We start from the raw sequence: 13,263 nt of genomic DNA on the forward strand, positions 1-13,263 counted from the left end.
GCCCCTCCCCTCTCATTTCTGCCTTTTTTGTCCCTCCTTCCCCTTTCTCTTCTGTGTACATTACAGTTTCCTAACCACACTTTGAGAAGCAGGGTTGGTGGAGTCCCCTGTCCCCAGAGAGGGTGACTTGTCACCCCTGCACTGACCCTTTGGGAATGTCACCACAAACAGAGGTACTCTGGGGTCTCCCAAACTTGGGGAACTGTTTCCTTTTGTGACACAGAGACCCAGCTGGGCCCCCAGGTCTCCTCATGCTCCCCAATACTCAGGGAGTGTGAGATGATACCCAGCAGGAAGGTGACAGAGGTGGCTCTGTGGGATAGAAAATGGGGGGCGACTACGGGGGGGACCAGTCCTCTCTCTCCAGTGTCACCAGCCTTGCCTCTGACCCAGGGACAGAGATCCAGGCCTGGGGGTCTCAGGAGGATCCCCAGCTCCTGGATGTGGAGGGAGGTGTCCTGCATGTCCTGGGAAGAGAGGACTGTGGTGGAGGGAGGTGGGTGGCTCTGGGTTCTGCTGTCCTTGAGGAGGGATTCAGGGAGATCCTCCCTCTCCGTTTCTGTTGGCTGAGCTGTGGCTTAGGGCCTGTGCATGTTCTCCCTTACCATCCCGGGTGGCCTCTGTCCTCTGTGAAGGTGATTGTCCTGTTGTCACTGTACCTTCCCCATGCATGATACCAGGAGAAAGTGGAGAACTGAGCAGAGAATCCTGGCAGAGCAGGATCCTCAGAGGCTCCAGGAAGGATCAGGAGAGACAGAGCAGGCACATGGGAGGGACTGGAAGGGCCTGCTGGAGCAAAGTATGGAAACCAGGCTTCACCTCCACCTCCTTAGCAAAGCCAGATTCCTGTCCAGGGGAATCCATTTCCTGTGTTGTCTGCGTGCAATGTTGCCCCTGGAGAGCAAGAGGAACCCTGTGGTAAAAGTCAGGGGCTTCCCCAGGGATGCTGACCAGGGTCCACGTGGTATGAGTTGGCCCTGGCCCCTGGGCAGAGGTGGGCTCTGACCTCCAGACTGCAGGGTCAGGTCATCCTTGGTCCTGTTCACTGTGGGTCCCCAGGATGTCCAACTCCATGCAGTGCAGGATGAGCTCAGGGAGAGGACGAGAGTTGTCCAGAGCACTCCTGGTCCTGATTTGGGAGAACTGTCCTGCAGGCGGATGGGCTGCCTCAGAAAGAGCCATCCGTCCCCAAGGTTTCAAAAGAAGGGCCCAGGGAGGTGTCTCTGGGGGTTTAGAGAGAGGGCACTGGCCTGGGAGGTGGTCCTCGGTGTGTTCTGTGTTCCTCCATCACAACACTGGGAGTTCCGCCTCCAGGTCATCTGTGTCCCTGTCTGTCACCTGCCCCAGGCCTCTCCACAGGGCCCAGGAGCTGGGGCAGCTCCTACCTGCAGGCTGCAAGGGATACCTGGTTCCTGTATTAGAGCAGGGGAGGCCCCGTGACCCTCAGTCCCTCTGAGATGGAAACAAAGGCAGATCCTGGGTTATCCTGTCCCCTCCTGCAGGAGAAGTTCCCCTGGATCCCCTGGTGAAATGTCTGCAGGGACCATAGGCAGATGTCCCAAATACTGGGGATCTCGAGGCTGGGGAATCACTCCCTGACTTTCTTGTGGTCATTCTGCCCTGGTGGAAGATCCACCTGGGATCGAATATCCGGAGTTTGTGTCAGTTTTGGTGTGTTTGTGAGAAAGACATATGTTAGAGCCTGGAGGGAATGTCAGTGAATGATGTCAGGGAATGAATTGGGTTTGCCCCTCACTGTTAGAAAGACCCTGAATTCCCTCCCGATGCTACTAGGGTAAAAGCCATGTTCTTATGCTCATTTCTCTAAGGAAATGCAAATAGAGTTTATTAAGGCGTTTCTGGCCAACTAAGGTGGATTTTGTCATGTAGACACAATATAGACCATAATACATGTACATATGCAAAAACACACCTAAACACATATCCACAAACAAATAAAAATCTTACAGCTTTCATTTTAGAATTTTAGTGATGAGATAGTAATACAAACTCACTAGTTGATTAAAGTCAACTGGATCCAATTGTATTTCTGACAAATTGGAATCGTTAACATGGATAAACTTTATTTGCCCCTATAGGTAATATAATGAAGGCTGGGGGAAATATTTTGGGTAAAGCAGTTTCTAATGGCAGTGTAACTTATAAACAAATAAACAAATGAAACCTCTACAGTTTCAGCATCTTTTTTTTTTCTGTTTCACATGAGTTTAGGATTAAATTTTCAATTGCTTACACTTTAGCTAGAACTGGCTGAATTGTATAAGAAAAAAAAATCTCCAACTAGCCTTAAACTAGATTTTTTGTGTGGGTTGGAGGGGGGCGGGTGGTGGTGATGTGGTTTGCTTGATTAACAAATGTGGATGAGGAAGGATTTTAGCTTTTTTTCCTGGCTTTTTCTTTTTTGCCTCTGCATGGCAAAAGAAGAAAAAAGTTTATGTCGGACAGAGACACCTTAAATTATTGCTCTGAGTTCAAGATTTTGACCTGTATGATCTGAGAGCCTAACTTTTATAACCATGTATTTTTTTAATTATTGATTTTTAATTGTGCTCCATTATAAGCAATTATTAGTTAGACAAACTTAAATTTACATTTCCTAAAGGTGTCTAAGTTGTTTCTTATCATGGAGTTGTTTAATTTGTAAAGCCATTAATTTTAAAGCCCTTCAAGATTTCTTTTTTAAAACTCTGGGCTAGAATGCCATAAGCAGTGAGTTTTATCTCAACACCAGTAGAAAAGTCAGCAGATTCAAAGTAGGTAGAGAAAAAAAAATAGAGAATTTAGAAGACTCTACATTTCCACCCTATAGATGCAGGGCTTTTTAAAACAGGTTGAATGATGATCATTGAGTACTGAATTTTCCTTGATGTAATTTTGCTCATAAACTTTAAAATGTGCACAAGAAAGAACCATAAAATGTAGCCAGCTGGAGCCCCAGAAAACCTGGCATGCCTTAATGCTTGAGAGCCCCATTCCATTTCTTATTAATCTCTTGAAAGTGAAGAAAATTTTACAAATCCTGCCAGAGAATGTCAGGCATTTGTACCAGTGTTTTAGATGGTGGCAACCACGCTAGTGGCTGTTAATTAGCCATTTTGTGCCCGTCATTTAGAATGTCTATTTTTTTGTGTTCTGGGATGATTTTCAGAAGCAAGCAAGGGGAAAAGAGTCAAACCAAATAAAAAGAAATCCAGATAAGAGCATTCACAAGAATTTTAACCCAGGCATGCAGATTTTTAAAGTATTTAAATTAGGCACACAGGCCAAAATGGAAGTAAATTCACCAGAATAGACTTGCCTCACAGGCAGAATGTAAATTTTGTAGAATCCAGAGTACGTGATCTAGAAAGATATACGCCTTTCTCTCAGAAAGGACTTGCTAGAAAAGACAAAAAGTTTTTTTTTTTTTTATCATCCCAGGAGAAATGTATGGTCTTTTACTAAGGCAGCCTTATCCAAATCAGATTCCAAATAAAGTCAAGAGCTTCTACCAAAAAGAGGCTCTGCTTGAGCAAAGACTTGTCAGGGCAGGAAAGGTGAGTGTGGAAGCAGAGAGCTCAAACTTCTCAAGTGAGTAGTGCACACTGGTTCAAAGATCACAGATTTCTTCTGATAGTGATCTTTCCCAGATCCCACTTCTGACACCATATATGGTAACAAACAGAGTGAGGCTTTCTATGAGAAACTGATGTTTATTTGGGAGTAGCACATTTCAATGGAAATGCATGTGCCATAGTAAAATGATCTACATATTCGAGTTTTTAAAGGAAAAAATTGGGATTATTATCTAGTCATTTTGAAAAAAAAAAAAAAAAACTAGCTACAAAGATCAATAGCCAGAATGATGCCACTGTGAGGTTCTATAGGCAGTTGCTGGGCAGATGTCCTTGCAGAAGTAGTTTTCATATAAGGTTGTGATGGCCTTTGTATAAACTTGTGGCTTTTGCAGAGTCTTTTGTGATAGTTTTGTTATCAGGCATGAGGATCCTCTCTTCATGGTCTTCTCTGGCTCTATTTGTCAGAGTTTTTTTTCACACTAGTGACTCATTTTGACTCTGACAACTTTCACATCTGTTAATACTTAAAGAATAAATAAAATTAAAAAGACTGAAGTCTAGTAGAAAAGTAGGCAAATATATAAACAGTTTACAGAAGAAAAAACAATTTGAATGATTCGTAGACATATGAACAAAATACCCGCACACATGCAGGAGAAACGGACATTGATATTATCCTGGAAAGGTGAGGATCATAATATGGCCCAGTGGTTTTAAATGCTGAAAAATTCCATTTGATAACACAACGTGTGGGAAGAACTTTGGTAAAAATTGTACTTCCTAACTTTGTTGGGTGACATGAAAATTTGTACCAACTGTGTGGCATCAAATTTGTCAACACTTATCAAAATTTAACATATGCATTCTCTTTGCCTCCCAAACTGCACTGCAAGGAATTTATCACACACTCATGAAAAATGACACCTAATCACGGTTTCTCATGGCAGTGATGGCTTAACAGCAAAATACTGAAAACAACCTACATTTACATTAGCATAGTTAAACAGGTTATATACATTTACACAATGGAATATGAGGCAGATATGTAACCAACAGGGAATTGTTTTAGCCACTGATGCGGAAACTCCTCCGTAGTGTTTTTAAATTATATGGCATAAACAACATATAGCCTATGTGTGGTTTTCACATTGAATGTGATCTTAATTTTTTTTTTTTTTTTGAGACAGGGTCTCATCTTGTTCCCAGGCTGGAGTGCAGTGGCATGATCTTGGCTCACTGCAGCCTCAATCTCCCAGGCTCAAGTGATCCTCCTGCCTCAGCCCCCGCCCCCCAAGTAGCTGGGACTACAGGCATGTACCACCATGCCTGGCTAATTTTTGTACTTTTTTGTAAAGACAGGGTTTCACCATGTTGCCCAGGCTGTTCTTGAACTCCTCAGCTCAAGTGATCCTCCAGCCTTGGCCTCCCAAAGTGCTGGGATTACAGGCGTGAGTCATCGTGTCCGGCCTAATCTTTTTAAACTTTAGAGTTGAGTTCATATGTATTTATTCTATAACTTTTGTTTTTTAACTTAATACTTCTGTATTTGGGGTATTTTTTTCTATTGTCCACTTTTCTGGTGTGTTTCCATCCATTGTTTTTGACTGATTCACTTCTTTGACTTAATGATATGGTATATATATATATTTTTTTTTCTTTTTTTGACAGAGTCTTGCCCTGTCACTCAGGCTGGAGTGCAATGATGCCATCTCGGCTCACTGCAACCTCCGCTTCTCGGGTTCAAGTGATTCTCCTGCCTCAGCCTCCTGAGTAGCTGGGATTACAGGTACGTGCCTCCACGCCCAGCTAATTTTTGTATTTTTAGTAAAGATGGGGGTTTCACCATGTTGGCCAGGCTGGTCTCGAACTGCCAACCTCATGATCCACCCGCCTCAGACTCCCAAAGTGCTCAGATTACAGGCGTGAGCCACCGTGCCCAGCCCCATGATATAGTATCTTTTTCCTTTAATGTTATCTCCTACATCTCATCACAAACATTTATGTATACTTCACAATTACCTTCTGGTTCCCAAATTATGACTCTTGCACAGTGAGGATTCTTCGAGATCTCTCCCTGTTTTCAGCACTCCCTGAAATGTTTTCAAAGCTTCCTTTATATTGACATTTATGGATATTTTGAGCTAGTACAGATTTCTCCTACTCCAAGATATGGATTCACCTGTGCCTCCAGGAGCACTGGCTCGTCTAATAAAAATAAGAATTAGAAAATAAATCATATCACAGACCACAAACTGGACCCATGGGGTGAATTTTAATTGTTTTCCATGAATACAATTGCAGAGAGGATAATATTGTTACCAGTGGAAGGTGTCCAGGTTCTTGGTGTATTGGACAAAACGCACAAACAAGGCAATAAAAGAATGAAGCAAAAAACACAGATTCATTTAAATGAAAGTACACTCCACAGAGTAGAAGTGGCCTCAAGCAAGCAGCTCAAGAGTGCTGGTTATAGAATTTTCTGGAGTTTAAATATGCTCTAGAGGTTTCCCATTGGCTACTTGGCTTACTCCCTATGTAAATAAAGTAGTGGCCTGCAATCAGTCTGATTGGTCGTGGAAGGCAACCAATCAGAGGCTGAAGTGAAGTTACAAAGTTACATCCCTATGCAAATGAAGACTAGACCCTTGACCAGTCTGATTGTTGCAGGAGGGAACCAATCAGAAGTACTTTCCATTTCTCATCTGCAATGCAGAAAAAGGTGGGGTTGTAAAGGGTGTACCCTCTGTCCTTTTGTTCTTGGGCTTGGGAAGTCGAGGTTGCTTTAGAGTGGTCAAAGGGCAGGGCTGGGGCAGACCCCAGGGGCAGTATGGAGGCCCCCCAGTATGTGTCCTGGAGGAGCCGAGCTCTCACACTCGGAATCTGTCCATCCCTGAGTTAGCACCCAGTTGCCTGGAACCCCCTCCTCCCCACAACGACCCCATGACCTGTGCAGAGTGGGTGCCCTCAGCACCTGCAGCCTCTCCCTATCCTGATAGCAGCCATTTTTCTTATTTTCTCAATAACTCAGGAGGACACACCCTCACCTGTGGACCTAGCTCTTTTTTTTTTTTTTTTTCAAATTATACTTGAAGGTCTGGAATACATGTGCAGAATGTGCAGTTTTGTTACATAGGTGTACATGTGCCATGGTGATTTGCTGCACCTGTCAACCTGTCATCTACATTAGGTATTTCTCTAATGCTGTTCCTCCCCTTACCCCTGAGCCCCCCAACAGGCCTCGGTGTGTGATGTTCCCCTCCCTGTGTCTATGTGTTCTCAATATTCACTGAGAGACCTCTGTTCTGTTCCATTGGTCTATCTGTTTTGGTACCAGTACCATGCTCTTTTGGTTACTGTAGCCTTGTAGTATAGTTTGAAGTCAGGTAGCATGATGCCTCCAGCTTTGATCTTTTTGCTTAGCATTCTCTTGGCAATATGGGCTCTTTTTTGGTTCCGTATGAACTTTAGAGTAGTTTTTTCTAATTCCATGAAGAAAGTCAATGGTAGCTTGACGAGAATAGCATTGAATCTATACATTACTTTGGGCAGTATGGCCATTTTCACAATATTGATTTTTCCTATCCATGAACACGGAATGTTTTTCCATTTGTTTGTGTCCTCTCTTATTTGCTTGAGCAGTGGTTTGTAATTCTCCTCGAAGAGGTCCTTCACATCCCTTGTAAGTTGTATTCCTAGGTATTTTATTCTCTTTGTAGCAATTGTGAATGGGAGTTCACTCATGATTTGGCTCTCTGTTTGTCTATTATTGGTGTATAGGAATGCTTGTGATTTTTGCATATTGATTTAGTATCCTGAGACTTTGCTGAAGTTGTTTATCAGTTTAAGGAATTTTGGGGCTGAGATGATGGGGTTTTATAAATATACAATCATGTCATCTGCAGACAGAGACAATTTGACTTCCTCTCTTCTTATTTGAATACCTTTATTTCTTTCTCTTGCCTGATTGCCTCGGCCAGAACTTCCAATACTATGTTGAATAGGAGTGGTGACAGAGGGCATCTTTGTCTTATGCCAGTTTTCAAAGGGAATTCTTCCAGATTATGCCCATTCAGTATGATATTGGCTGTGGGTTTGATAAAAATAGCTCTTATTATTTTGAGATACATCCCATCGATACCTAGTTTATTGAGTGTTTTTAGCATGAAGATGTGTTGAATTTTATCAAAGGCCTTTTCTGCGTCTGTTGAGATAATCATGTGGTTTTTGTCATTGGTTCTCTTTATGCGATGGATTACGTTTGTTGATTTGCATATGTTGAACCAGCCTTGCATCCCAGGGATGAAGCTGACTTGATCATGGTGGATAAGCTTTTTGATGTGCTGCTGGATGTGGTTTGCCACTATTTTATTGAGGATTTTCGCATCGATGTTCATCAGGGATATTGGCCCGAAATTTTCTTTTCTTGTTGTGTCTCTGCCAGGTTTTGGTATCAGGATGATGCTGGCCACATAAAATGAGTTAGAGAGGACTCCCTCTTTCTCTATTGATTGAAAGAGTTTCAGAAGGAATGGTACCAGTTCCTCTTTGTACCTCTGGTAGAATTCAGCTGTGAATCTGTCTGGTCCTGGGCTTTTGTTGGTTGGTAGGCTATTAATTACTGAATCAGTTTCAGAACTTGTTATTGGTCTATTCCAGGATTTGACTTCTTCCTGGTTTAGTCTTGGGAGGGTGTATGTGTCCAGGAATGTATCTATTTCTTCTAGATTTTCTACTTTATTTGCATAGAGGTGTTTATAGTATTCTCTGATGGTAGTTTGTATTTCTGTGGGATCAGTGGTGATATCCCCTTTATCCTTCTTTATTGTGTTTATTTGATTCTTCTCTCTTTTCTTCTTTATTAGTCTGGATAGTGGTCTATCTATTTTGCTAATCTTTTTTAAAAACCAGCTCCTGGATTCATTGATTTTTTGAAGGGCTTTTTGTGTCTCTATCTCCTTCATTTCTGCTCTGATCTTAGTTATTTCTTGTCTTCTTCTAGCTTTTGAATGTGTTTTCTCTTGCTTCTCTAGTTCTTTTAATTGTGATTTCAGGGTGTCGATTTTAGATCTTTCCCACTTTCTCATGTGGGCATTTAGTGCTATAAATTCCCCTCTAAACACTGCTTTATCTGTATCCCAGAGATTCTCATAGGTTGTGTCTTTGTTCTCATTGGTTTCAAAGAACTTATTTATTTCTGCCTTAATTTTGTTATTTACCCAGTAGTCATTCAGGAGCAGATTATTCAGTTTCCATGTAGTTGTGCAGTTTTGAGTGAGTTTCTTAATCCTGAGTTCTAATTTGATTGCACTGTGGTCTGAGAGACTGTTCGTTATGATTTCCATTCTCTTGCATTTGCTGAGGAGTGTTTTATTTCCAGTTATGAGGTCAATTCTAGAATAAGTGCTATGTGGTGCTGAGAAGAATGTATAGTCTATTGATTTGTGGTGGAGAGTTCTGTAGATGTCTATTAGGTCTGCTTGGTGCAGAGCTGAGTTCAAGTCCTGAATATCCTTGTTAATTTTCTGTCTTGTTGATCTGTCTAATATTGACAGTGGGGTGTTAAAGTCTCCCACTATTATTGCGTGGGATTCTAAGTTTCTTTGTAGGTCTTTAAGAACTTGCTTTATGAATCTGGATGTTCCTGTATTGGGTGCATATATATTTAGGACAGTTAGCTCTTCTTTTGCATTGATGCCTTTACTATTATATAATGCCCTTCTTTGTCTTTTTTTTTATCTTTGTTGGCTTAAAGTCTGTTTTATCAGAGACTAGGATTGCAACTCCTGCTTTTTGTTTGTTTGTTTGCTTGCTTTCCATTTGCTTGGTAAATATTCCTCCATCCCTTTATTTTGAGCCTAAGTGTGTCTTTGCACATGAGATGGGTCTCACGCACCAATGAGTCTTGACGCTTTATCCAATTTATCAGTCTGTGTCTTTTAATTGGGGCACTTAGCCCATTTATATTTAAGGTTAATATTGTTATGTGTGAATTTGATGCCATCATTATGATGTTACCTGGTTATTTTGCACATTAGTTGTTGCAGTTTCTTCATAGTGTCGATGGTCTTTACATTTTGGTATGTTTTTGCAGTGGCTGGTACTGGTTTTTTCTTTCCATATTTAATGTTTCCTTCAGGAGCTTTTGTAAGGCAGGCCTGGTGGTGACAAAATCCCTCAGCATTTGCTTGTCTATAAAGGATTTTATTTCTCCTTTGCTTATGAAGCTTTATTTCGCTGGATATAAAATTCTGGGTTGAAAACTGTTTTCTTTAAGAATGTTGAATATTGGCTCCTACTCTCTTCTGGCTTGTAGAGTTTCTGCAGAGAGATCCGCTGTTAGTCTGATGGGCCCTTCAGATTGAGAAATCCTTAGATTGGAGTCACTTCAAATCCAGAAGTTATGAGGACTGAGCTGGGCAATCTTCATTCCATAATACATTTTTTGAAAAGTACATGCCCTTCCTATTCTATGAAAAGCTGCCCTGGCCTCAGAGATGAACACAACTGGCAAGCCTGCTCATGTAGTTTGGATGTTTCTCCCCTCCAAATCTCATGTTGAAATGTAATCCCCAATGTTAAAGGTGGGGCCTGGCTGGGTCATGAGGGCAGGTCCCTCATGAATGGCTAGGTCCTGTCCTCATGATAGTGAGTGATTTTGTACAAGGTCTGGTTATTTAGAAGTGTGTGGTGCCAGGCACAGTGGCTCATGCTTGTGATCCCAGAACTTTGGGAGACTGAGGGAGGAGGATTACCTGAGGTCAGGAACTCAAGACCAGCCTGGCCAACATGGTGAAACTCCATCTGTACTAAAAATACAAAAATTCGCCAGACTTGATGGTGCACACCTGTAATCCCAGCTACTTGGGAGGCTGAGGTAGAAGAATAGCTTGAACTCAGGAAGCAGAAGTTGCGGTGAGCTGAGATTGTGCCACTGCATTCCAGCCTGAATGACAGGGTGAGACTGTCATGGAGTGACACCTCCCCCCTGCCACTTACTACCACTCTCACCATGTGTTATATCTATTCCTCTTCCCTTTCTGCCACAAGTAAAAGCTTCACTGGAAGCCAAATAAATGCTGTCACCCTGTTTCTTGTGCATCATGCAGAAACATGAGCCAATTAACTTCTTTTTTTGCAAATTATCTGGTCTCAGGTATTTCTTTATAGCAACACAAAAGTGGCCTAATACACCTGCCTTCCCCCCAATACATAGAAGTTTATATGAGGAACAGGGACTGATCTTTATAAAGCCACAAAGAGTGCTAAGAAAGAATCTCACAAAAGTCCACAGGAGAAAAATTCAACCTGATGATGAGGTTGCAAAATCTGCGAGCTGAGAAGGAGTTCCTATTGTGGGTCCCACAGAGATGTCTGGGAGAACTCCAAGGTCACCATAGGGTGGTCTGGGGTGAAAGAGAGGTGCCACCTTATCCTTACAGATTGTCACCTGAGCAAAGACTCTTGATCTTCTGCAGAGGGTCAGGGCCATCCCCTGGATGGTTTCCTTTGCACACCTCATGGTGGAACCTGAGAGCTGGCTGGGATCTCTGGGAAGGAACATGGCCCCAGGCCCCAGGAAACTCTCAGTCATTCATCTCCTCTCTTTGTCCACAGGGTCAGTGGCTCACTCCTCCTTCTGAACCAGCAGCTTACCTCCAGCAAAATGATCCTTTCAGGCTGACTGTGAAATAGCAGACATCTGAGTCCTCTGTTATAGGTTATTAAATCTAAAATCAAATTTTTCTCTGCTTGGAGGCATTTTATTATAAAAAGTTGGTACTCGTACACATAAACTAATATAAACTTGAAATTTACTATACATTTACATTTCTTAGCTTGTCCTTACAGTAAATTTTTAGCTTCATTGATCTTGGCTATTATATAAAGAGACCCTCTTTTGTCTGGGTGATTTAAGAGCATAACATGTTGATAAGAACCTCTTACTGTTTCCTTTATTGGCGTTAGGGCTTACATCTAGTATTAGTGCTGCTTCCTGTTTTGTCATTTTGGGTTCAACCCCACCTCTGTCGTAATAACCTCTGAAAAATATTTTGGTAGACTTTGAAAAACTTGTTTTACTTGAGGCTTTCTGTGCTTCGTGGCTTGCCAAACATAACAGCTTGCAAATCCTGCAGCAGCAGTCGGTACAGCTGCTACCACTGCACAGGCCATGGCTCCAGCCTGGCTCCCCTGCTTCCACCAGGAGGGTGGATCATCCCAGCCCAGAGGCCGCACCCACTACCTACTTGGCTTTACCAGAGAGCAATGCAGCAGCGACCACAGTAGTCACAAATTGCCCAAGCACCTTTTTCCTTTTTAAAGTGGTGGTGATGATGCATTTACTTTATTGAGCTGTTGTGAATAGTCAATGAAATCAGGTGACTTGCATTGAGTCCATAAATACTAAACACTGTGGACTGACGTTGTCATTGTTGGCTTAAGGTCCCATTCAACACCAGATACCACTGTTTGTCTCAGTTGCACCATCTCCACAGTGGTGGCAACATCGTTTCCCTCAGAGGATGGACCATAATTGTGTTTGAGGGTGAGAACATGTTATCAGAGGGAAGGAAAACTCCTGGTCTGTGGAAGGGCCACAGTGTCCCTCTAAGCCAAGTCACAACATTGTTTGAGAAAGTACCAACCAAATTTCCGCTGTGTTCACTGAGCCTGAGTCTGAGACATTCACCTGTTTCTCCCATTACAGGCTGTGGACCCCAAGCCTCCCATGACAGGAGCAGTCCCTCTCCACCTATTTTTGGTCAGGGCTGTGCCCTTCCGGGTTTGCCTGGGGCAGGAAGTCACAGCCAGCCTGGGTATCCAAGGGCAGGGGTCTGTGTTCTTGGACCCAAGGGGAAGTGAATGGTTTGAGCTCTGGCTATGTGGATTTGAGCTGGCAGCCTGAGCCCCAGAAGAAGAGAAGATACACGGGACATTCAGGCTAACTGGGTCGCTGCAGTCGGCATTCACTGGGTTCTGGGTTCCACTCTCATAGAGTCCTGTGTCACTACCTGTGACACTGAGTAAAGTGAAGGTCCTGTTGCCCTTGGACATCTTCAGCCTGGGACTGGCCAGGAAGCTCTGACCCCTTACTCACCACAGGTATGTTGTGTCCTGAGTCTCAGGTTCACAGTTTAACCTACAGAGTCTTTGTCCTCCACGGGGGTCCTGTTGCCTTGATGGAGGGCTTTGTAAGCTCTACTGTGCAGATAACAGAGAGAAGACTGCCCTATGGGGCACCCTGATTACTCCATAGTGAACATGGAACGCATATAGCATGCACGTTTTCTTATCAAACTTGTGTAAGTCAAACCTTCATGAATATTAATAGCTCCTCCTAAACCCTATTGAATGTCTACTTGGCCAACCTGTTCAGCGTCAAACCCTGTTCCACCCTCCCTCCTTCAAGTGCCTGCTATTGGTCTCTGCAGGAAGCTGCACTTGCTAGCCTGAGGAATGGCCAGCAGGCAGGCTGTAATATTTTATAAAAAATAAAGGCACCAGGTGCAATAGTTCAGGCATGTAATGCCAGTCCTTTGGGAGGCCATAGAGGGAGGATTGCTAGAGGATAGGAGTTGGAGACCACCCTGGGCAACATAGCAAGACCCCATCTCTAAAACAATTTTTTAAAAAATTAGCAGAGCATGGTAGCAAGTGTCTGTAGTCTCAGCTATGATGGAGGCTG

The 13,263-nt window shown here is 43.0% G+C and overlaps 1 pseudogene; it reads right to left on the reverse strand.

Moving 5' to 3' along the window:
- On the reverse strand, positions 11,293 to 11,848 carry DNAJC19P3 (DnaJ heat shock protein family (Hsp40) member C19 pseudogene 3; annotated as a pseudogene).

Source organism: Homo sapiens, chromosome 19 (genome assembly GCF_000001405.40).
Source record: "Homo sapiens chromosome 19, GRCh38.p14 Primary Assembly".
Classification (NCBI taxonomy): Eukaryota; Metazoa; Chordata; class Mammalia; order Primates; family Hominidae; genus Homo; species Homo sapiens.